The 26,251-nt window shown below is 43.3% G+C and overlaps 1 protein-coding gene across 4 annotated transcripts in view; it reads right to left on the bottom strand.

The window, feature by feature from the left end:
* The window catches only part of IQGAP2 (IQ motif containing GTPase activating protein 2), a 304,848-nt gene that overhangs the window by 277,070 nt on the left and 1,527 nt on the right, over positions 1-26,251 (bottom strand). The window lies entirely within an intron of this gene.

Below are 26,251 nucleotides of genomic sequence, written 5' to 3'. Positions count from 1 at the left end.
AATACTCATGAATCATTGCATACATGTTTTTCTGTAAACAATCTTTTCACTTAACAGATCTTGGACATATTCTTATATAATTACATATAGAGCTACCTCATTCTTTTTAAAGTCTGCATCATATTCCTAATATAAATATTTTATTTATAATTTATTTGAACTACTCCCCAATTGCTAGGCATTTAGGTTAACTTGAATTTTGCTACTGAACGCAATTATTTTCATTAATTCTTCACAATATACACTGTTCATGCTTTTTCCCCCATTTACAATTAACTCATTCTTGATATAGCTTTCCTGACTTCTACTCAAGCTAATCTTTCATTGAATTAGCACCATGGTGTAGCATGAAATGGCTTATGTGCTTTTTCTGTTTACGTGGCTGTGAATTTTTTTAGTCCTTCCAGTGAGAGGTGGGTCCCTTCTCCTTGAATCTGGGGAGACGTGCAATAGCTTCTACCAAGAAAGAGTGGCAGAAATGCTGTTATCTGACTTCCAAAGCTAAGTTATAAAAATCCATGCAGCTTCCACGTGGTCTCTTGGAACATTTGTTCTGTGGAGATGCTCACTCTTGGAACCCTCCCACTTGGGAAGCCAGCTGCCATGCTGCAAGAAGCCTGAGCTCCATGAAGGGTCAACTCGCAGATGCTCTGGTAAACAGCCCCAGCTGAGTCCAGCCTTCGAGTCATCCCACCCCAGGTACCAGGCATATAGGTGGAGAAGCTTCCAGATGATTCCAGCCCCCAGCAGTTTCAGTCTTCCCAGCTGGAGCTCGTTAATTGGTCCAGTAAATGGAGCAGAGACAGCCATTCCCACTGTGCCCTGTCTGGATTCCTGACCCAAAGAATCTGTGCAAATAAGATGGTGGTGGTTTTATTCCACTAAGTTTTGAGGTGATTTGTCACAGAGCGCTATGTAACTGAACCACATATATAGGTCTGCCTGGCTAATTCAGGCAGGTAACATTTTTCACACCTCAAATCCTATTACTTCCAGCTATAAAGACAAGTCCAAGGAATCTGAGGGCTGCACTAGGACCTCAAATCAGTCTTTAAATCACTGGAACTCCTGTCCCCACCCACAGGCTACAGATATCTACTCTCTCTACCTAGATGGATGCTGTGAGAAAACTAAAAAATGTCCTAAATCCTATACAAATGAAATAGTCGTGTGTGTGTGTGTGTGTGTGTGTGTGTGTGTGTCTGTGTCTCCTTTTCATTCAGCTGGAATACAAATGCAAATCCTTAGTGAACTTGGGATTGAAGGTTTGGGCAGGATCTCTGGACTTCAGTTCTCCCACAAAGACTTTCATAGATTGATGTTCTTCTAATTTCAAAGAATTATGAATAGCACAAGTTTACTTTAACACCCTTCATCAAGGTGATGGGAATGTTAACTAATTTTAACATATATATATACATATATGTATATATATAAATTTATATATGTATATATATAAATATACATATATATATATATAAATTTTTTTTTGAGACAGAGTCTCGCTCTGTCGCCCAGGCTGGAGTGCAATGGTGCGATCTTGGCTCACTGCAAGCTCCGCCTCCCGGGTTCACACCATTCTCCTGCCTCAGCCCCCCAAGTAGCTGGGACTACAGGCACCCACCACCACGCCTGGCTAATTTTTTGTATTTTTAGTAGAGATGGGGTTTCACCGTGTTAGCCAGGATAGTCTCGATCTCCGGACCTCGTGATCTGCCCACCTCAGCCTCCCAAAGTGCTGGGATTACAGGTGTGAGCCACCACGCCCAGCCTAACATGGATATATTTTTAAAAAGAGAAAAACAGGAATAAAAACTAAAAAGAAAAATGCCTTAAGTATACAAAATGATTATATTTGGGTAATAAGGTCAAAAAGTATCTATAAGAGAAAACATACATGACCTACTTCTCAATGGAAGGAATCACTTTTCATTTCAGATGTTTTTCTAGGAAAGCAATGTACTTCTAGAATTTTTTTTTTTTTTTGAGACAGAGTCTCGCTGTCACTCGGGCTCTAGTACAATGGCACAATCTTGGCTCACTGAAACCTCTGTCTCCCAGGTTCAAGCAATTCTCCTGCCTCAGCCTCCCGAGTAGCTGTGTCATCACGCCTGGCTAATTTATGTATTTTTAGCAGAGGTGGGGTTTCACCATGTTGGCCAGCCTGGTCTCGAACTCCTGACCTCAGGTGATCTGCCTGCCTTGGTCTCCCACAGTGCTGGGATTACAGACATGAGCCACCACACCTGGCTGAGAAACCTTTTTTTTTTTTAAGTAAGTTGGTTTAGTAAGCAATGGAAAGACGCTGCCCACTTACAGATTAAGATTCAGGGTAGTCACGGTGACTCAGTCCTGTAATCCCAGCACTTTGGGAGGCTGAGACGGGTGGATCACTTGAGGTCAGGAGTTTGAGACCAACCTGACCAACATGGTGAAACCCCGTCTCTACTAAAAAAAATGCAAAATTAGCTGGGTGTGGTGGCGCACACCTGTAATCCCAGCTACTTGGGAAGCTGAGGTAGCAGAATCACTTGAATTCGTGAGGTGGAGGTTGCAGAGATTGCGCCATTGCACTCCAGCCTGGGCAACAAGAGCAGAACTCCATCTCAAAAAAAAAAAAAAAAAGAAAAAAGGATTCAAAGCAAACTCCTGGCGCAGAACAGTGGGTTCCTGGGCTCCCCATCTTCCTTTGCATTACCAGATTTAAACATTTTACTCACTTCACGTGGTGCCCAATACCATACCCTACTCCTTCTCCCTTCCCAGGTACCCAGCAGACCCATAGCAACAAAGGCTTCAGGGTAACAAGGGCAGCACTGAGCTAGGAAAGAAGGTGTCTGGCTGCCCATCACCCCGCAGAGCTGGGCAAGCAGAAAGGCAGGCCAAAGCCCTTCTGAGGGGCTGGCGCTCCTCTGTGAGTCTCTGCTCAAACCACACCCAGGGAGCCACCAAATAGCTCAGAGTCTAACAGTCCAAGCTGCTGCCTCTCTGGGGCCAGTTTGCCCCTTCAGTGCCCATTCAGAGGGTGCAGCCATCTGTCTCAGGCTGTCCTGTTAAAATGCTCCCCTCAGTGCCAGGTAAGGAACTGCAGGCATTGGTCCTCCCACTGCTTGACAGCCTGCAAGGCTGCAGACGGGCTCAGGGACTCACCTCCAGCACAGAGAAGGGTCTGCGAGCAGCCCCGCACACAACAGATTGCTGAAAGCTTATGCTGCCCCCGCTCAGAGCCTTTCATCATCCTCCTGGACATATGTGCCAACTTTTCTTTTATGTCAAGAACTGGTCCGTAGCAGAGCCTCACTACTAAATGTGGCCTGGAGACCTGCAGTGCCGGCATCACCTGGGAGCTTGTTACACATGCAGTCTCGGGGCCCAGCCCAGACCTGCGGGAACAGAATCTGCAATTTCACCAAATCCTCACATGACACACGCGCATTCAAGTGTGGGAAGCACTGTTCTAGGGAACCCTCATTTAAAATGGAACGTTTCTGTCAGGATAAAACCTAGGATGCTAGTCACAGTAGAAATTTTGAAAAAATAGTTTTAAGTTGTGGGAACAAGCATAATCCTATTCCCGGCAGAAAGACCTCATTATTCATGCACTCTTGAAAGGGGAGGGGGGAGAGCTCAGCTCACTTTATTTCAAAGCCAAATCCAAGAGCATGAAAGTGAGGGTATTTCATTTTAAATCACCACCCACCGTCACAACACTAATTGGTCCAGTAAATGGTATTATAAAAGCTTAAGGTGGGAGCTTGGCCAGGCAACACACAGCTTCACAAAAAGAAATGTCCAGAAAACAATTTTGTTTCTTTATTTATAACAGTGATTCTTAACCGGGGACATGTGGCAATGTCTGGAAACATTTTGTGTTGTCACAGGTGAAGGGGACTGCAACTGGAATTGAGTGTGTCAGGGATGATACTAAACATCCTACAATGCACAAGTCAGCACCCCACAACCAAGAATTGTCCAGTCCTAAACATCAGCAGTGCTGAGGCTGAGAAACCCTGACCTACAGGATTAACTCTAATGTTATTTTCTCTTCTCTCTCAGTGCCCACCACCCATTATGTACTGATCACTCCACTATGCAACTCATTTTTCAGTAAAGTCCTGCACACACTCACACACACACACACACACACACACACACACCCTCCATGGTTTTTCCCCGCTTGGCTCAGAGAAGAGCCTGCCATTGAGTGTGTGACAGCCAAGGATGGAGGGGCAGGGGCCCTGTCCTTTCATCAAGAAGGGCCCCTACTTGTCCTTCCTCATTACCCATGCAGCACAGGCCTTAGGTTACCTATTATAAAATCATGGGCTGTGAGAGCTGGAAGGGGCCTTAGTGATCCTCTCGTCCAGCGCCCTTCGTGTATTAAAGGGGCTGCTTCCCAGCAGACTCGGCACATAGACCAGTTCCTTTACAACACAAAGCAAAAGGAGCCAGGACTCATAAGAAATGCAAAGAAAAGGAACAATGGCACAAGCCCCAGTGTTTGAAGAGCTCGAGCAACTGTTGAATGGTGATGTTCTATTTTTAGCTCAACTTTCCTGAAAAGGAACCCGGCTTCCCCTTTTCTGGAATGCTGTGGCATCCTCTCCAACTGTTTGGTTTCCCTTCTGCTCCAAAGGTTGCTGTAAAGGCTGTCTAGGAAAGTGAATGTCATTGCACAGACCCATCCTTATGGGCAGGGTGACCATAAGTCCTGGCTTGCCCAGGGCTGGCACAATTTATATGGTTGCCTTGGAAAAACTAACAGAATCCCCCTTTCCTAGGTGTCTAGGTTTGGATGATGATTTATACTGTAACCTTTCTTCTGGGGCACGCTGTTCCCAGGGAGAACAAAGCTCCAGGCCTGGCATGCTTTTGCAGAGCACATTAAGCCACAGACCTTAACGTGAAACTGATGTGCAATTATGTCTAATTTGGCCCTTGCTGGTGATGTGCCAGCTGACCGCAATTCTGCTCACTGAAAATGACTGGATGCCGATGAAGGGAAACCCAGAACTGCGCAAACACATTCTAATCCCGTTGACTTGAGAGCATCAAGACTGAGGATACTGGCACAGACCATGGGAAAACCTGCTCTGAAACTGATCCATGAAGTTAGTACCCAAGAATTTCCACTTCAGACTGAGTCTATCCTCCAGTTTCTAACCCCAGCATGCATGAACAACTCACATTTCTGTGTGGTATGCACGCACTGACCCATGAGGCACAGTGGTGTTATGGAGCTCAGAGGCTCAGGTAAAAGGTAACCGAAAAGCAAGGCCAGCAAAATGATTATTGGCAATTCATCCCATCAACAATGTCTACCTGGGACCTATTAGCCCACACTAGTCAAATCCGAGCAGATGAGAACTTCATCTCTCATAATCAGAAGGAATAATATGAGAACTAATGTGGGTTTTTTTTTCTTTTGCTTATAATACTTACAAGTCTCTCTGGGAAAAATGAAGACTACAGAACAGGAAACATCATTCTATCTAAAACAACTGTTAACAATTTGACACATTTCCTTTCAGTCCTTTCCCCGTACTATTTAGGTTCTAACTTCCCTACAGTGTATCTTGCCTTTTTGCTTCCTGAATAAGCATTTCTCCATGTCATTATAAACCAATCAGTTTATTTTAAGTTGTGTCCGTGGTTCTGCAATGGCAACATTAACAGCTGTTTGCTATTCAGACTTCAAAAGTTTATGTATAACAGAGGGTAGTAAATAAAGAGGATGGAGAAGAAAAAAGGAAACCAAGCAATAAAATTTTAATGAAGAATCTGTCTCCCAGAATAGTGGTCACCAGTGTTATGAGTGTTGAACCGATCCTCAGTCCTGCTGGAACCACTAGAGAGGGCAGCCCCCCAACTTAACTGAGCTAGCATAGTCTCCAGATGGATTAAGCGAATGCAGGGAAAGAAAGCAAGAAAGGCAGAGGCTTAGAGTCCTGCAGGAAGATAAAGAAAGCTGAGGAGGCAGAAGCAGGAAAGGTCTGACTGTGAATGCCTCCTCAGTGTCTCCAGAATACTTGCCTCCCATGGCAGTCCAGACCCTCCATGCACCGTGCTCTCCTTTCCCTAATCAATCCTGCGTGCATGCATGCATTAAGGCCAGGCCTGGGCACAGCCTGTCTCCTCTTCACAGAATGCTTCCTCCTTCTCTCACTGGGCACTCTCTCTGTGAGAGTGCTTTATATTTGTTGTTCCATTTTGTCCTAATAATGCCATCAGGCAGGTACTACAATTTCATTACTTCAGGTCACAGGAGAGGAAACCAGAGCTAAGCATTAGCAAATGACAGAGCCAGAGCCCAGCTCTGGGCCAGTGGGCCATGTCGCCTCCCAGAAAATCAGCTCCCTGAGGGCAGAGAGGAGTCCAACCACTCACTTGTCCAATGAACACTTTAATTATATCTCATGTTTTTCCTAAAAATATTTGAGGAGGTTTACAAAAATAGATCTGTTAGGGCCGGGCGTGGTGGCTCATGCCTGTAATACCAGCACTTTGGGAGGACTAGGCAGGTGGATTAGGAGTTCGAGACCAGCCTGACCAACATGGTGAAACCCCACCTCTACTAAAAATACAAAATGAGCCGGGCATGGTGGCACATGCCTGTAATCCCAGCTACTTAGGAGGCTGAGGCAGGAGAATCACTTGAACCAGGGAGGCGGAGGTTGTAGTGAGCCAAGATCGTGCCATTGCACTCCAGCCTGGGCAATGAGCAAAACTTCGTCTCAAAAAATAAAATAAAATAAAAATAAAAAAGATCTGTTAGGGAAAAAAAGGTTTATAAATAAAAGAAATCTTAAAATTGGGTAAAGGGAAAATAAAAGTAGACAAGGACAATGAAAGCAGGGGGGAATAAACACACTGAAAACAATATTGAAGCCCCTCACGAATTCTACAGTTCAGTCCCAAATTTGGGTCTCTGTTTTTGATTACCCAAGGCAAAAAATAGAAAGTGGATATTCCTAACTGAGTTATGGATATATTTCAGAAAGTCCTGTTGCTATAGAAATTATTTTAAGAACAATATATATCCCTGCCATCCTGCCTGATTAAAGAGCTTCTAAATGAGCCTATTTTCCATTTAACTGTTCGCTAAACCTACAGGTGCTACAATGTAAACGTGGTAGAAAACTGCTCTATAAAGGATTCCACGCTTCCCAGTTTCCCTATTCAGAATGTGCTGAATACACTTTAAGTCACTGAGAGACAGTGTAAATTATCATCATGAGTTACTTTCTTCTAAACAGTGATACTCTTACTGTGCCCTCTCTCACTAGCTCAGTGCCCACCATGGCTTCATGTGCCTTTTGATGCTTCTAAATCCTTTCTTGCATATCTGCTACTTCTGCACTCTTCCCACTCTTTCTTCTTTCATCTGTTTTTGTGATGACTTCTCAGCTTTGATGATGACCAAGCACTATTTCTCCTTTTTTGAGATGAAGTCTTGCTCTATCGCCCAGGCTAGAGTGCAGTGGCACGATCTCAGCTCACTGCAAACTCCGCCTCCTAGGTTCAAGCGATTCTCCTGCCTCAGCCTCCCAAGTAGCTGGGATTACAGGCTCCCGCCACTGTGCCTGACTAATTTTTGTATTTTTAGTAGAAACGGGGTTTCACCACCTTGGCCAGGCTGGTCTTGAACTCCTGATCTCGTGATCCACCCGCCTAGGCCTGCCAAAGTGCTGGGATTACAGGCATGAGCCACCAAGCCCGGTCGACCAAGCACCATTTTAATAGCGGGTACCAGCACCATTTTAATAGCAGGTACCAGCCAACCCCAGTAACTCACAGCTTCTTCCCTGGCAATGCACATCGCTGTTCATGATTAGACAGTCACTGTGCCAAAAAATTTAGAATGTCTAAAATTCTTCTTTTTCCCAAATTTAATGGCTATACTGAGTTGATTAGTGGTAATTTTTTATAGCAGGAACAAACAGGAAACTAATAAAATGGATAAATCCTTTACTCAGAAGACAGAGTACCAAGTACCCAAAAGCTGTCTTTCTAGCTTGTATTCAACAGGCATGACAGGCACAAAGCCTGGCGTAGCATTGCCTGGTTCATTCTGCCACTTACTAGCTGTACCTTGGGCAAGTTACTTAATGTTTCTGCACCTCAGTTTTCCCACCTATAAAATGGGGATAACATTACCAACCTCAGAGTTTAGTTACAAGGATTAAATTGGGCGATTCCTACAAAGTGCTTAAAACAGCACCTGGCATATAGAAGCATCATATGTGTTTGTTATTATCTGCACCATTTGAGATTAACCTGGCAGAAAGTGTAGAAGCCGGTCCCCACTTCTTAGAGCTGTGTGTACATGCCTCCTTCTCATAGACCTGTCCTCTTCTACCAGACATGAAGCACAATCCCCCCAGATTGCACAAGGGAGCCAGAGACAGACCAGAGACTCGGGGTTAAGATCAGGATTTTTCCACTGAAGTAGGATTGTCTGCGTTTCAAAATTTACTAGGCTCTCCTGCAGAGCCAACATTTTCTCTTGTTAAATAATCCTGGGAACTCCACACAGAGTACTTAGCACAAGCTCCAAACTAATCATTATGAGACAACCACTTGGTTGCATGGAGTTAAACTGTTGTTTTTATAATTCTTGGCTAATTTCCAATGAAGGAGTGGAAGAATGATCAGCCTTCAAAAACAGCCGCCAACTGAGTCCTGGATCTACCTCAGTCAAAGCACAGTGAAGTCAGACTCCTCGGAACACACTTGCTTAATCTGGACCCTGTGGCCTCAGCAATCTATAAAAATTATCAACACTCACCCTTAGGAAATACATAGCGTCTGCTTACTTTAAGGCCACAGTTATGCTAGAGCTCTCACATGCTCCTGCCACCTTTTGCTCCAGTTAAGCACCACCATTCTAGAGCCCCCAGGCCAGTCTCATCTCAAGACAGTCAAATAGATGCCACCTCCTGTAAAAGAGTAATAACTCATTTAAAAATATCAGTTTCTGGTGTATTGGAATTGTCTAAACACCTTTAAAATCAATGGGAAATATTATATTAATAGCTTGCACTGAATGAATGCTTTCTATGTGTCAGGCACCAAGCACATAGATTAGCTTATTTCATTCTGATTACCATTATTATCCCCATTTTATAGCTAAACAACATGAGCTAGGGAAGTTAAGACCTTGTTCAAGATCGCACAGTATTTGGATGAGCCAGGTTAACAAAACAATATTCTATTTTGAAAATCCCATATGCCCCAAGAGGCAGCCTGTTACTTTGTTTTACACTATTTATAGAGGTCAAAGGCAACTTGTTGTCTATGCACTATTTAAGTCACCAATCAAAAACTTTAAAAATTCTAAAAAGTCATGATTAATGTAAATGAAAAACTGTGACCCTTGTCCTGCATATCTGAGGTCACACCTGAAGTCACAAAGAAGTAAATTTTGCCACACCTATTTTTTTTATGAGACAGGGTCTCACTCTGTCACCCAGGCTGGAGTGCAGTGACACTATCATGGCTCACTGCAGCCTTAACTTCCGGGGCTCAAGTGATCCTCCCATCTCAGCTTCCCAAGTAGCTGGGACTACAGACACACACCACCACGACCAGCTAATTTTTGTATTTTTTTTGCAGAGGATAGGGTTTTGCCATGTTGCCCAGGCTGATCTCCAACTCCTGGCCTCAAGCGATCCTCCTGCCTCAGCTTCCCAAAGTGCGGGGATTACAGGCATGAGCCACTGCACCCAGCTGCCACAGCTAGACTTTATACCCATTGCTCTTTATCTCGTGTGAAGAAAAGATGAATTTACACATGACCTCCCAGGAGGTAATCCAAACAGGAGCCTAAAGGCTGGCATTCTAATTGGCTTCTTCCTTCAAGTCATGGATACTTCATTCTTTGAAGTGTTCTTCAATTCACTCCATTAAAAAGTGATAGGTATACAATTCCTCAAAAAATTAAACAGAATTACCATATGATCTGGCAATCCCACTTCTGGGTATATACCCAAAACTAAAGCAAAGGCTCAAACAGATATTTGTACACCCATGCTCGCTGTAGCAGCACTCACAATAGCCAAAAGGTGGAAATAACCCAAGTATCAATCAATGAATGAATGGATAAATAAAATGTGGCCTGTACCTACAATGGGATATTATTCAGCCTTAAAAAGGAAGTACGGATACATGCTATGACATGGTTGAACCCTGAAGACATGCTAAGTGAAACAAGCCAGACATAAAAGACCAAATACTGTATAATTCCCCTTACATGAGGTACTTGGAGCAGTCAAATTCATAGAAATGGAAAGTAGAATGGTGGTTATCCAGTGCTGGGAGGAGAGAGAATGGGAGTTATTATTTAATGTGTATGGAGTTTCAGTTTGGGAAGATAAAAAAGTTCCAGAGGCTGGGCACGGTGGCTCACGCCTGTAATCCCAGCCCTTTGGGAGGCCAAGGTGGGCGGATCACAAGGTCAAGAGTTCGAGACCAGCCTGGCCAACATAGTGAAACCCCATCTATACTAAAAATCCAAAAAATTAGCCGGGCGTGGTGGCAGGCACCTGTAATCCCAGCTACTTGGGAGGCTGAGGCAGGAGAATCACTTGAACCCGGGAGGCGGAGATTGCAGTGAGCCGAGATCATGCCAGTGCACTCCAGCCTGGGTGACAGTGTGAGACTCTGTCTCAAAAAAAAAAAAAAAAAAAGTTCCAAAGATAGATCGTGATGATGGTTATACAACAATGTGAATGTACTTAATACCACAAAACTGTCCACTGAAAAATGGTAAGAATGATAATTTTATGTGTATTTTAGCACAAAAAAAAACACATACAAATAAAGTAGGGTGGATTTAATTAATTCAATGAATTCAAACCTTGGCTGCACATTGGAATCTCCTAGGGAGGTTTTTAAAAATATCTATTCATCACCAGTAGTGGGAGGGTGGACACTGTAGCCCCTGATGTGATGCACCTGGAGGAAACAGGCCTGGACTCCTCAGAGGATTCAGGGTCATTGCATTGAGAGGGAGGTGAGACCACTCTTCCAGGCTGGGGAAGGCCTTGAGGAATAACAGCCAAAGGCAATGCGAGAAACTTACCTGGGTCCTAAAACATGGCTATAAAGCATAGCAGGGGAAATCATAGTGTGGAATTTATATTGAACAATGGAACTGAACACACAGTAATGGTAACACTGAGGATGAAGCTGGAGAGAAGAATGTCTTTCTCAGTATGTGAGATGTGTGCTGAAGGATTTAGGGGTGAGCCATCCCAATGTCTGTAGATGGAATGGTGTGGCAAGATGTCAACAGGTGGTAAAGCTAAGTGAAGGGAATAGATGTTCATTGTATCCTTCTTTGAGGTTTTGAGAGCTTGAAAGTGTTTAAAACACAAAAAAAAAAAAAGAAAAGAAAAGAAAAAGAAAAAGAATACCCTAGTGAGGACAGGCATGGTAGCTCACACCTGTAATCTCAGCACTTTAGGAGGCCGAGGTGGGGGGATCACTTGAGATCAGGAGTTCGAGACCAGCCTGGCCAACGTGGTGAAACCCTGTATCTACTAAAAATACAAAAAATTAGCCAGGTGTGGTGGCATGTGTCTGCAATTCCAGCTACTTGGGAGGCTGAGGCAGGAGAATTGCTTGAACTTGGGAGGCGGAGGTTGCAGTGAGCTGAGACCATGCCACTGTACTCCAGCCTGGGCAACAGAGTGAGACTACATAAAACAAAACAAAACAAAACAAAAAACCCTAGTGAGACCCTGTCTCAACCAAAAAATATTTTTTTAATTAGCCAGGTGTGGTGTGCATGCCTGTAGTCCTAGCTACTTGGGAGCATAGCTTGAGCCCAGGAGTTTGAGGCTGAAGTGAGCCAATATCATGCCAATGTACTCCAGCCTAGAAAACAGAGCCAGACCCCGTCAAATAAATAAATAAATAAAGTTTAAAATAAAAACACCTATGCCAGAATATTCTATCCCCAAATAAACAGAGGATAGTGACAATATCCAGGGAACACACATTTTCTTGGTAAAGCTTTCCTGGAGTTTTCAGTGGGTAGCCAGGTTGACAACTATGAATTAGATGATCTCTAATCCAAGATGGGATATTATGCTGGTGTGGATAATAGTCAAGGGCGTGGATAATAGTCAAGGACGTGTAATCAACCTAGGAGGCTGGCCCGCTGTTGACACCCAGCAGCCCTAGGAAACCTTTTCAAGCATTAAGTGACCCCAGCCACACTATCTTCCACACTCACCCCCCTACTTTTCCTGAGAATAAGCCATAAGCTTTATAAAGAGAGGATCTCTGTCATCAGATTAGGAGACAGAATTGCCTTCCCAAGCTTTATCCTCCAGTGTTAAAAATACAGATGTCCCCTCCCTCGCAGAGTAGTTTCCCTTGATGAAATATTTTCCTACAGCATGGGTCTCAAAGAAACTACTCTTAAAGTCTTTTCAATTTAGAGATTTTTTTTTTTTTTTTCGAGATGGAGTCTCACTCTGTGACCCAGGCTAGAGTACAGCTAATTTTTAAAGATTTTTTGTAGAAACAGAGTCTCCTGACATTGCCCAGGCTGGCCTCAAACTCCATGGCTCAAGCAATCCTCCCGTCTCTGCCTCCCAAAGTACTGGGATTATAAGCGTGAGCCACCGGGTCCAGCCTCAATTCAGAGATTCTTACTATTAACTTCTGTTTTCAAAATTCACACTTCGTAGTAAAAGAAATGCTAAGATGGACAAGGAAGAATCTGGCTAAAAATCATATATTAGGATTCAAAAAAGTTACGTCTCAAAGATAGTGCTACCAAAATGCAAAATGTTGCCTTTCAAGTTGAAGGAGAAAGGAAAATCTTTTTTTTTTTTTTTTTTTTGAGACGGAGTCTCTCTCTGTCACCCAGGCTGGGATGCAATGGCGCAATCTCAGCTCACTGCAACCTCCGCCTCCCACGTTCAAGTGATTCTCCTGCCTCAGCCTCCTGAGTAGCTGGGATTACAGGTGCCCGCCACCATGCCCAGCTAATTTTTTTATTTTTAGTAGAGACAGGGGTTCACCATGTTGGTCAGGCTGGTCTTGAACTCCTGACCTCATGATCTGCCTGCCTCGGCCTCCCAAAGTGCTGGGATTACAGGTGTGAGCCACCGCGCCCAGCCAGGAAAATCTCATTTCAAACACCGTTTCAAAAAAAAGCACATATCAGCCAGGCACAATGGTTCATGCCTGTAATCCCAGCACTTTAGGAGGCTGAGGGAGGCGGATCACTTGAGCTCAGGAGTTCAAGACCAGCCTGGGCAACATGGCGAAACCCCATCTCCTACTAAAAATACAAAAATTAGCTGGGCATAGTGGCATACACCTGTAATCCCAGCTATTTGGAAGACTAAAGTGGGAGAATGGCCCAAGCCCAGGAGGCGGAGGTTGCAGTGAGCCAAGATCGCACCACTGAACTCCAGCCTGTGACACAGCCAGACCCTGTCTCAAAAAATAAATAAATAGGCCAGGCGCGGTGGCTTACACCTGTAATCCCAGCACTTTGGGAGGCCAAGGTGGGTGGATCACTTGAGGTAAGGAGTTCGAGACCTGCCTGGCCAACATGGTGAAACCTTGTCTCCACTAAAAATATAAAACTCAGCATGGTAGCAGACGCCTGTAACCTCGGCTACTCAGGAGGCTGAGGCAGGAGAATCACTTGAACCCGGGAGGCGGAGATTGCAGTAAGCAGAGATCCCGCCACTGTACTCCAGCCTGGGTGACAGAGCAAGACTTCATCTCAAAAATAATTAATTTATTTATTTTAAAACATATGTCACAAAGCTAAGGTAGCATTGCCTTTGAGGTAATGATTAAATGATAAACCCGTTTCAACACTAATAAGACTTCACCAAAGAATTATTCAAATAAGTGGTAAATCCCTCCCCACTGTAGACACACACACACACTTGAACAATTTTCAGAGCAATCTCCCATACCTCACCCTCTTTTGAGACAGGGTAAACATAAACCCACTTTTCAAATGTAGAAAGAAGCTCAGACCAGCCTGGGCAACATGGCAAGACTGTTTCTACAAAAAAAAATTTTTTTTAATTAGCTGGGCATAGCGGTGCATGCCTATGGTCCCATCTACTCAGAAGGCTGAGGTAGGAGGATCACTTGAGCCCAGGAGCTGGAGGCTGCAGTGAGCTGTGATGATGTCACTGCACTCCAGCCTGGGTGATAGAGTAAGATCCCTGTCTCCAAAAATAAAGAAGAGCTCAGGCCGGGTGTGTTGGCTCACACCTGTAATCCCAGGACTTTGGGAAGCCGAGGTGGGCGGATCACGAGGTCAGGAGTTTGAGACCAGCCTGGCCAATATGATGAAACCCTGTCCCTACTAGTAATACAAAAATTAGCCACGCGTGGTGGCATGCGCCTGTAGTCCCAGCTACTTGGGAGGCTGAGGCAGAAGAATCGCTTGAACACGGGAGGCGGAGACTGCAGTGAGCCAAGATCGCGCCACTGCACACTCCAGCCTGGGTGACAGAGTGAGACTCCGTCTCAAAAAAAAAAAAGCTCAAAGAACTTATACCCAATATCACACAGTAAGTGGCACCTCAGTCTAAGTCCTCAGATGCTAGATGCAGGTCTTGCTATCACAGTGCTTCTCGTCTCTCATTGGTCTAAGGTCACGGTACTTCCATGGCTACCTCCATTTTACAGCATAATGCTGGGGCCAGTGGCAGCTTCCAAGATGCTAAACAAGACTAATCTATCTTGTTTTGCCTGTACACTGCTCACAAATGTTTCCCTTCCAATTTGAGTGACGAAAGCAGCAAATGCATTCTCCAGCTGAGAGACACTCCAAAGCTTCCTATTATTTTATACAGGCTGTGATCACATTTGACCCCTGAAGGCATTTGGTCATAAACCCTATGTAAATTCCACCTTATACATGGCATCTAGCACCTCCTGTTGAATGAAGGAATGGTCATGAGTAGTTCACCTCTTCACAGGCTCTTCAGAGTTCACTTTGTGAGTCAAGAGAACACTCCACTTTCGTGTCACAACCTTTATTTCCCCCATGGACACTAGTTGATTCATTACTACCTTTTACAGATCTGCTTCCTACACACTTTCTTTTCACATTTTTTTTTTTTTTTTGAGACAGTTACCCTCTGTTGCCCAGGCTGGAGTGCAGTGGCATGATCTCGGCTCACTGCAACCTCCACCTCCTGGGTTCAAGGGATTCTCTTGCCTAAGCCTCCGGAGTAGCTGGGATTACAGGCACATGCCACCATACCCAGCTAATATTTTTTGTATTTTTAATAGAGACAGGGTTTCACTACATTGGCCAGGTTGGTCTTGAACTCCTGGCCTCCAGTGATCTGCCTGCCTCAGCCTCCCAAAGTGGTGGGATTACAGGTGGGAACCACTGTGCCTGGCCCCTTTCACAAATTATTAACTACAACAGTTTAACAGCTATAGAGTCCTGGGCCTCTTAACATTTCTGTCCCTCATTCTCTATGCATGTACACACATACACACTTGGAAAATTAGATAGCCACTGAATCCTTCCAATAATAACTGATCTATCTTTCAGACTAATTTTCATAAGGCAAAGTTTGTAGCCAAAGAGAACTTTGTATCTTGAGCAGCAAAGGGTAACTTACAATTTTTCCAACTCAACTGTTACAGTCTAACTATAAAAACATGTATAGCTGAAAATTTGAGGAAGAAAAAATATTAATCACAAAATATCTCATTACCTACACAGAATCACTGCTGCCATGTTGACCTATGTACCAGACAGTGGGGATACAGCATTGACCAAAAGATACAGTCCTGATTCCTCATGGATTTTACTGCTGTTCTATTTTGTCCACATTATTCTCAAAACATATTTTTCCAAAACACACATTTGCTTTATTTTTTCAAAGGGTAATACGGCATATGGTGAAAACTATTTCAAATCGCATTCCCACTCCTGCCCCCAGTCCCTCTTCCCAAAGGCAACTTCTAAAAAGATATTATAACCTTCTAGATTATTTGCATAACCTTCTAGAAATATTCACATGTCCACAGGATGAGGATGTCCCTCCCTGTTTGGTTTGTCTTATTTGTCCTGCTTAGCAGAGAAAGGTACACGTTTTCAGAGATATCAAAGCTACAATACAGAAGCACATTATAAGCTCCACTTCTTTCTCAGAGTTCCCCTAATCTAATGTGAAAAGTTACAGGCAGAGTCCAGTGAAGAGGAATAAGCAAGCACAATCCTCCAACCTGTTAACCAATTCAAACTAATAGCAAAGATTAGACTGGAGAACTGAGGAAGGAAGCTTTTGAGACTATCACCAGAATCAGTGCCAAAGCAGGGAAGGGCCTCACGTGACCCTGGTTCTCATGGAGGAAAAAATTATCTTTATATATTCATTTTTTATTTTGTTTTTGTAGAAACAAGGTCTTGCTACGTTGCCCAGATGGTCTTGAACTCCTGGCCTTAAGCAATCCTCCTGCCTTAGCCTCCCAAAGTGCTGGGATTACAGGCTTGAGCCACCATATCCGGCCTTATATATTCTTTACAAATAAATGTATCTTTGTTTCTTTTTGGAAAATAAAACTCATTAGTAGAGAACAGAATGAGAGCAAAAGCATGTTTGTATTAGCTCTATAACTACCATTTCTTGGACAAACTTCCTAAGAGTTCAACATGCAGCGAGGCTCTGGTGGGCTGCCTTACTAGATCTTACCTGAGGAAGCACAGTTTAGGGGGCAGGTGAATGGGGAGTCATATTTCATGAGGCTGACTATGTGACTATCTTACCAGGCTCCTCATCCCACCCTGAGAAGCCTGCTTCGTGTAGGACTGGGGCAAAAAACAGAAAAGTGACAATCTCAAGGACCAAGACTGGCTGATTACAATGGTCCCCTTTTGGGGAGGTGAGGAATAATAGAGGGGTTACTAGCAAACATCTTCTATGAAAAGTACTAGAATTTTTTTAAAAAGTGGGCACGTGAGTTGCGGCCCAGGTTTTCGATTCCTAATGGCTTCAACATTCCAGTTAGTCCTCTCAGCTGAGCTTCACTGAGCTTATGAACACAAAATTTCATTAACTTTGTAGAGGCGGTGAGGCCTGAGGGACGTTAGGTGAACCCAGTGTACCAAGTGTACTTCCTCTTCCTCACCTCCCTTCTAAACTCCCACAGGACTGGGTTGACCACAAGGTTGGCTGACCCTGGTAGCTAAGTCAAACTCTACATTCTGAAGCAAGCATAAAGATTCAAACACATTTCAAGTAGCTCCTTCCCATCTAGATAGCATTATAAACCCTCAGGCTTTTAGACAAGCAACAGCAGCAGCAACGACCAACTTCAACTTGGAAGCCTAAATGAAATAAGAGAATGCTTGGTAACTTCAGAATGACACTTCCAAGATCCCCTGCAAGATGGCAAAATATACAACACAGAAGTCCAAATGTTCTCCCCACCTCGGCTATATCTGGAAACAATAGAACATACTAGTTTTTTAAGTATACAGACACAAGGATTAATTTGGTCCCCACCCAAATTGATAGACTGAAGTATTTCCATATAGATAACTTAAGAATTTTCCCATTCTGAAGAGAAAATAGGGCTAGAGTTGGGCGTGGTGGCCCACGCCTGTTATCCCAGCACTTTCAGAGGCCGAGACGGATGGATCACCTGAGGTCAGGAGTTCAAGAGCAGCCTGACTAATACGGTGAAACCCCATCTCTACTAAAAATACAAAAAATAGCCTGGTGTGGTGGCATGTGCTTGTAGTCTCAGCTACTCGGGAGGCTGAGACAGGAGAATTGCTTGAACCTGGGAGGTGGAGGTTGCAGTGAGCCAAGATCGCGCCACTGCACTCCAGCCTAGGCGACACAGTGAGACTCCATCGCAAAAAAAAAAAAAAAAAAAAAAAAAAAAAAGAGAAAAGAAAAGAAAAAAGAAAATAGGGCTAGGATTTTAAATCCACATTCTGTTAAAGTGAAAAAGAACAGGCAAGGAGGTAGACAAGGATACAGGTAAAGAAGGATACAGGTAAAGAAGGATACAGACCAAGGGGCAGCAGTAATGAGGGGGGTTCTGCCATCACCATCCCTGCCCTTTAGGTGTTGACTCCATGGGAGCACACTTTGAGCATGTACGTTTCCATCTATTAAATCATTTAATCCTTTGATGATGCATTTTCCACTTACATTTTACAGATGAGGAAACTGAGGCACAGAGAAATTAAAACAACTTGCCAGGTTCCACAGGGGATGGAAGCAAATCTAAACTCAACATTTAATGTTTGCATGGCATCTGAAAGCTGCCAAGATGATCTTTAATTAGACAGACAATAAATTCCTCATTTAGACAAACAATACAGTATAGACATGTTATGCAAACCTGTCATAACAGCAAATATTTACTGAGTATCTTCTAAGTGCCAGGATACCAAGCTGCTGGCTAGATACTGAATCTAGGCATAAGTATGTGAAATATATGTTGCTTCAATTATATGCAAATCAAGTCTACTTATTTGGAGACAACTATAGGATATGCATTAACATTACTTAAGATTGAATTCATATTGCCAGTAAAATATGAGAACTGAGACAAAATTATCAGGAACTATGTCAGGCATGGTGGTACACACCTGTAGTCCCAGCTACACAGGAGGCTAAGGCGGGAGGATCTCTTGGGCCCAAGAGTTCAAGTCCAGCTTGAGCAACATAGTGAGATCCTATCTCTTAATAAAAATTATCAAGAAATAAACCACCCTAATTTTTAAAAAAATTAAAATGTCTTCCTTCAGAGATTTAGTAGTAATAGAGAAAGAACAACCAATTAGAAATCTTCTTTTTGGGAGATCCCAAGCAATAAACAATAAAAATGTCCTCCTATCTTTTATCAAAAGTAAATTAAACAGATTGGTAGTTTCCCTGCAATTTGGGAATGACCTGGGTGCACTTATGTCTATCAAATAATATCTCTGCTAACATATTCAACAGTTCTAAAAATTGTGAATGAATAAACGAATAAATGAATAACACTGTAAGGTGTCCTGGAGAGAAAAAAAATGGAGAAGGAGGACATCTATCAATTCTTACTGTCCAGCCCCCCATGTGCCACCCCCAGGGATTAGAAGCTCAGAATTTCCAGGCTTAGAGTTCCCTTTCTTACACAAAAAGGTTCCCCGTTCACTCAGCCTTCCCAATGGCTCCTATAAGCCTCACTTCCAGCTGAAATCCCTGGGAAGCTAACCTTGCTTTATCTCTAGTCAGTGGAGATTTTAAACTTTTCCATTTGTTTTAGTCTGTTTTGTGCTGCTATAACAGAATACCTGAGACTGGGTCATTTATGATGAACAGAAATTTGTTTCCGCACAGTTCTGGAGGCTAGGATGTCCAAGGTTGAGGGGCCTGCAACTGGTGAGGGCCTTCTTACTGCACCGTAACATGGCAAAAGGCATCGCATGGGTGAAAGAGAGAGAAAAGGAGGCTGAACTCATCCTTTTACCAAACTCACTCTCACAATAACATTAACCCATTCAGGAGGGCAGAACTCTGGTGGCCTAATCACCACTCATTAGGCTCCACCTCCCAACACTACTGCATGGGGGACTACGTTCCAACACACGAACTTTGGGGAATACATTCAAACTACAGCACCTTCCAAATCACATTTGTTTCCCAGAAGAAAGAAAAGCAAACTTAAAGTCATAGCAGAATTAATTCTATAAAATAAACATGAACCTGTAAAGTAATCAAGGCCTGGTTAGCATGTGGTTTACAAATCAAACATCCAAGAGATACTGTAAATAAAGCGTTCCATAACATACCCATGTGTTTTCACTTACTTGACAAAAACCTGCAAGCACTGTGAAGAGTAACTATATATCAGAAATGCCTCTTTACCTTTCTGATGCTCTAGCGCATCAGAATCACCTGGAGGGCCTATTAAAACTCAGACTGCAGACCCCGTCACAGGCTTTCTGATTTGGCAGGTCTGAGTGGGGCCTGGGCATCTGCCTTTCCAACAAGCTCTCAGGAGATGCTCCGCTGCTGTTACTGCTGCTGCTGCTCCAGAGACTGCTCTTTGAAAACCACTGCATATACTAAATAAACAGCTGTCAGCTCCTCTTAGGCACCTTGGCAAGAAGAAGTCATACACAATACACGATTATAAAATTAAAGGAAGGTCCAATTAGAGCTTAGTAAAATCCCACAAAAAGTCTAAATGAAAGTTCCTCAGGCAATTGCCAATGAATTGGAAACACAGTCTAAGTCATTCTTCAATAAAACTGGGATGCTGGACATTGCAGGACCGTAAATCAGTGAAATCTGAAAGGTAAACATTGCCACAATTAATGGAGAGAATGAAGAAAAATGAGGTGAGAGAAACCCTACCCCCTAGAGAATTCAGTTGTCAATATCCTTGTCCTGCTCTAAGTACAACTCATTTTCTTACCTGTTCTCATTGAATTCACCTATCCTCGGCAAAACCCTCTGGCAAAGCTGTTCATCCAAAAGACAGCCAAACCCAGAAGCACAGTGAAGAGGCCGCTAAGCAGCCAGCAGACAGGGCACCAAATGCTCACATCGCTGTCTTGCCACACCTGCCTCCCCTGTCACTCACTTCACTGGGCCACTCACCCATGTCTCTAATGAAAAGTTTGGGGTGTTTCTTTTTTTAAACCATCTCAAAGAACAAGAAGGTACATCAGTAAGGGGTTGCATCAGGTGACTCTCCTCAGGACAGCTCCAATTGTCCTTTATTGCCTATATAAATAGAAGATTCCACAGTACAAATATACTAGCACGCCTTTCAGGTTTTCCTCTGACCTTCCTCAAGGTCATTTCAAATTCACAACTTTCATGAAGCCCTCCCATTGCCGCCATCCAAATCCATCCTTCTCATATCTTCTCTTCCACAGAACTTGGAAGGGCACTAAAAGTATAAGCATTTTTACTTGTCACCCAGATTCTCTGGTAAGCTGTCAGCAGCTAAGCGGTGTTTCATTCATCACGATACTTTGCTAGTATTAGGTGCTCAATTAATTGAAACCATTACAACTTGTTTAGCACTATGTGCCAGGAACCACATCAGCCACCTCTATAGATATATCATTTCCACACACCTCTCAAGGTACAGGAGAAAACCCCAAGGCTACTGAGGCAGGCAATGGAAGTCAGAATTCAAACCCACATCTATTCAACTCCAAAGCTTCTGCCATTTTATCAGCACCACACTGCATCTCAAGAGAGAAAAATAAAATAGAGCAGTAAGGTGACAAAGTATCAGCTCACAGGTCGGCTTCACTACTAAAGTTTCTATTTCATTTCTCAACAATCCCAGACTTTAAGGTATGGGCAGTGTATGTAATAAAGCATGTTTTACAAATTATCCTATTAGCAATCACTGGGGCACATCACTATATTATTATGGAAAAGCCTTTCACTTCAGCACCTCACAGTAAGAGATGGGATGTTTCTAAGTATACACAAAATCTTTTGATGAAGCTTGGATGTATTCTATGAAAAGCCCATGTAAGGCTGGGCATGGTGGCTCATGCCTGTAATACCAGCAATTTGGGAGGCTGAGGAAGGCAGATCATTTGAGCTCAGGAGTTCGAGACCAGCCTGGCCGACATGATGAAACCCCATCTCTACCAAAAATACAAAAATTAGCCAGGCATGGTGGTACATGACTATAATCCCAGCTACTCAGGAGGGTGAGGCATGAGAATTGCTTGAACCCGGGAAGCAGAGGTTGCAGTGAGCTGAGATCATGTCACTGCACTCTAGCCTGGGTGACAGAGCAAGACTCTGTCTCAAAAAAAAAAAAAAAAAAAAAAAGCCCATGTATTCTATGCTGTTTCTTGGGAGGAAAAAATTCAGCAGCAAAATCAACTTTATGCATCTATTTATAAATGAGCACACTATCCAATGGCCACAGGTTTTTTTGTGTTGTTGTTTTTTGTTTGTTTGTTTTAGAGATGGGGTCTCACTGGGCGTGGTGGCTCACACCTGTAATCCTAGCACTTTGGGAGGCTGAGCCGGGCGGATCACTTGAGGTAGGAAGTTCGAGACCAGCCTGACCACACGGGGAAACCCCACCTCTACTAAAACATACAAAAATTAGCTGGGTGTGGTGGTGCATTCCTGTAGTCCCAGCTACTTGGGAGGCTGAGATGGGAGAATCACTTTAACCCAGGAGGTGGAGGTTGCAGTGAGCCCAGATCTCACCACTGTACTTCAGCCTGGGTGACATAGTGGAACTCCATCTCAAAATAAATAAATAAATAAATAAATAAGAGAGATTGGGTTGGGTGGGGGGCAGGCAGATCTTACTATGTTGCCCAGGCTGGAGAGCTGTGGCTATTCATAGTTGTAATCATTGCACACTACAGCCTGGAAATCTTGATCCTCCTGCCTCAGCCTCCCAAGTAGCTGTAACTACAGGTGTATACCACCACATCCAGCATAAATAGCTAGAGGTTTCTACATCTTGAGAGAATCATGACAAACTACTTAAAGACACAGAAGGGGTGAACATTTATGATTCAGGGGCAGCAAAGTTGCAACAGTCAATGAGGAAAGGCTCCAGGATCTGACAGTGCTGCTTTCAAGTTCCTCTGCCACCAGCTAGCAGGGTGGCCTTGACATAGTACTAGGGGTTTCAGCTTCTTTGTGAAATGGAAAACCACTGGCCCTCTCAAAGGCCATAATGAGCCGATGATAACAGTAACACATGAAAAGCACCTAGCCCTTGGTATGTTCACAAACCTTTGTTCCATATCCCATATTAAACTGCCTGCCCTGTAGGACTTACCTGACCCTATCAAATCAGACGTTGAGTAGCCTTTGTTTCTCTTTTGGTTACCATGAAGACATGGTAAGCATTAGATCTGTTTGTATACTAGGTTTTGTTTTTTTTGAGACAGAGTCTCGCTCTTTCGCCCAGGCTGGAACGCAGTGGCGTGATCTCGGCTTATTGCAACCTCTGCCTCCCGGGTTCAAGCGATTCCCCTGCTTGGGATTCCCCTATTTGGGATTCTCCTGCCTCAGCCTCCCAAGTAGCTGGGATTACAGGCATGCACTACCACACCAGGCTAATTTTTGTATTTTTAGTAGAGACAAGGTTTCACTATGCTGGCTAGGCTAGTCTCAAACTCGTGACCTCATGTGATCCACCCGCCTTGGCTTCCCAAAGTCCTGGGATTACAGGTGTGAGCCACCATGCCCAGCCTTTTAAATAGAAGGGGCTGTTAAAAAGCTTGTGTAGTAAGAGGGTAGATGGCAATAGTAAGTCATTGGTTCCCTAGAGAAAAAGGAGTTAACACCCCAAATAACACTAAATTCTAAAACAAACTCGGTATTACAAGCTTAAACTCTCCCAAACAAGTCATTCTGGCTAACAGCATGTGTAATTAAAGTTAAAACCATACTAAAATAACACTTTAGCTGTTGACCTTAAAGATCCTTTTGAAAAGCTCAACCAAAACACCAGCATATGAGGGAGCAGCTTGACTTTTTGTCTACTGAAGACAGTATCTCAAGATAAGGCTGCGTATACCTTTCTATGGTTCAAACGAAAGCACTGATAGGATGTTACAGCTGAGCTATGCTAAATACCGACTTATTCAATCACCTTTTACACAACTGCGTTTAACTACTTCAGAACTTAAATTTCATCTCAGATTGGTCATCGTAGATGGATAAGAGTTTAGTTGCACTGACCACCCCAAAACTCCAGTTTCCAGGTAACTAACTTAGTAACTTCACTATTCAGATAAGAGCAGAGAGTAGTACCCAAAAGCTCACAGTATCAGGCCAGGTGTGGTGACTCACACCTGTAATCCCAGCACTTTGGGAAGCTGAGGAGGGAGGACTGCTTGAGCTCAGCCTGGGCAACATGGTGAAAACCCATCTCTACAAAAAAATACAAAAATTAGCTAGGTGTGGTGATGTGTGCCTGTAGTACCAGCTACTCAGGAGGGTGAGGTGGGAGGACAGCTTGAGGCTGGGAGGTTTGAGGCTGCAGTGAGCCATGATTGCACCACTGCACTCCAGCCTGGGTGAGAGAGCAAGATACTGCCTAAAAAAAAAATAATAATAATGCTCAACCAGAATCTTTCTCAACTTCCCCTTCCCCGCCCCCACAACATGCTGGACTTAGGTTGCACTTTTTAAAAGAAGCAAACAGTGAAACATTGATCCCCAATTTTTGTACAATGTATCTCATGAAAGGAAGGCTCTGAATCTTGTAGTGTAGAAAACCACAGTTCTTGCCTATGCAATCATTGGAGACCCACTGTAGTCACTTAAGTGTTGATTGGGTTATCAGTGGTAAGTGAAGTCATCTGCCTAGTCACAAACCCCTCTTTTGCTCTTGCTGGTGTTTTTAACTCTCAAGTAACTGGAACAAAACTTACGACAGATCATGGCAGCAATGTGTTTTCAGAATTAATTTGGCAGATACATCATAATCCATTACAACAACACAAGTTATTCGCAAATCACACCTAAGCGTAAGTGTCATCTTAATTTGGTTGAGTATAGAAAAATACTATACATACAATATATAGTACATACTATGTCTATGTCTGCATTAGTTTAAACAGCTACCTACTATCACTTCCTTCTTCCACCTCTTCCCTTCAGAATTGTGTTACTGAATTGTTTCAGCTTTGTTTGTAGTATTAACATTATACAAAAATAGCTTCACAGATTGCAGGAAGATGTGGCCAATAACAGTGGAAATTAAATAGAAAATAGTCTATTTAATTTCAATCCAGTGCTCCTGTGTGCAAATCAGGGCGACTTCAGCAATCTTGCATCTGTCAGAAACCTGAGAAGAGTCAGAGGCCTCATGGAGAACTCATTGAGAAATCCCTCAAGTACAATTTATTATGTGGCCTTTTACAGACATTCAGTCTGGTACAGAGGAGAAAGACCATAGCAGCCCTGAGCTGAGTTAGTTACTTTGTGTAAGAACTACTGAATTAAATGAGGAGTCAAGTGGGTAGGAGAGAGAGCAGAACAGAAGCTCAGACCCAAAATAAGCAATAGACAACTTAATTCAAACTACCAAAAAGTTGTGTTTAAAGCCCAGTCTCAAACATCTTATACTCAGAACGTTCAGCACTAGAACTGAAATTACAATGTATTGCTACTTTATTTTTAAATGCTAGGGGTAACACCTGTTTCTTATAATTTGAGGTTTTACTGAAACTGTATTTACCAAACCAATAAACAAGAAAAAGCACAGCCCTAGAACACAACAGAGCAAGGACAATCCTGTGTTATCCTTCCCTAGCCTTCCCATGAAGAGCTCACAGCACGATTTTCAGTCTCATGTTGATAGGAGGCTCAGAAAGCCAACAACAACCAGAAATTACACTAACACACCAAATAGCCCTCTTCTGCATGAATAGGTAATGTTAGGTAATGCCTATTAACGCCAAAATCTATTCTGCTAGATATCATGTTCTGAATACACTGAAAATACACCATTCATAAACCAAAATTATAAAAGTGTTCATTTTAATGAGATAACTGTCATATTAAAGCCTTAATATTTCAGGGTGACAAGAAAGTCTGGAAACATAGGCAAATATTTTCCATTTTGACAGTGTTAAGTGACCAACTTGAATGCCAGCACTTGATGAGTGGAGGGAAAGTAACCGGGAGTGATTCCAACAAGATGGCACACCACCCCCTTACACCACATTGGTGAAGAAAGCTGGATGAAGATTTCCAAAGAAAGCGGCCCTGTGGAGTGGGCTTCAGGCTTGCCAGATCTGGACTCCCTTGATAGCTTCTTCTGGAGTGCACTTAAAACACAGATTTATTCCGTGAAAATCAAGCAGCATCACAGATGCACATGCAGGGACTGACAGAAATGCTGCATTCATGTACCACATTCACGGAAATTTTGCACTATTTATTGCTCATGAGGGCCGACATCAATCATGTGATAGCAAGAAATCATTTGTTCATGTAGATTCACCTAGTTTGCAGAAGTTTGTGGTTATCTTATCATTTGACACAGTGAAGCCACCATATATTCTGAGAGCTGGTCACATTAAAGTACTTCCACCAACCTGAGGTTGGCACTGCAAACACTGAATGAGCACAGCATTCCTCCTTGAACCCAACGGGCTCTGCTGTATCTGTGGTTTACCAAAAGGCAAAAAGCTGGGTCCCACCTGAGGTTGGCACTGCAAACACTGAATGAGCACAGCGTTCCCTCTTGAACCCAAGAGGCTCTGCTGTCTGTGTGG

The sequence above is a fragment of the Homo sapiens genome, chromosome 5 (genome assembly GCF_000001405.40).
Source record: "Homo sapiens chromosome 5, GRCh38.p14 Primary Assembly".
Classification (NCBI taxonomy): Eukaryota; Metazoa; Chordata; class Mammalia; order Primates; family Hominidae; genus Homo; species Homo sapiens.
The sequence above is the reverse complement of the archived record's forward strand: the minus strand, read 5'-3'. Positions and strand labels throughout refer to the sequence as shown.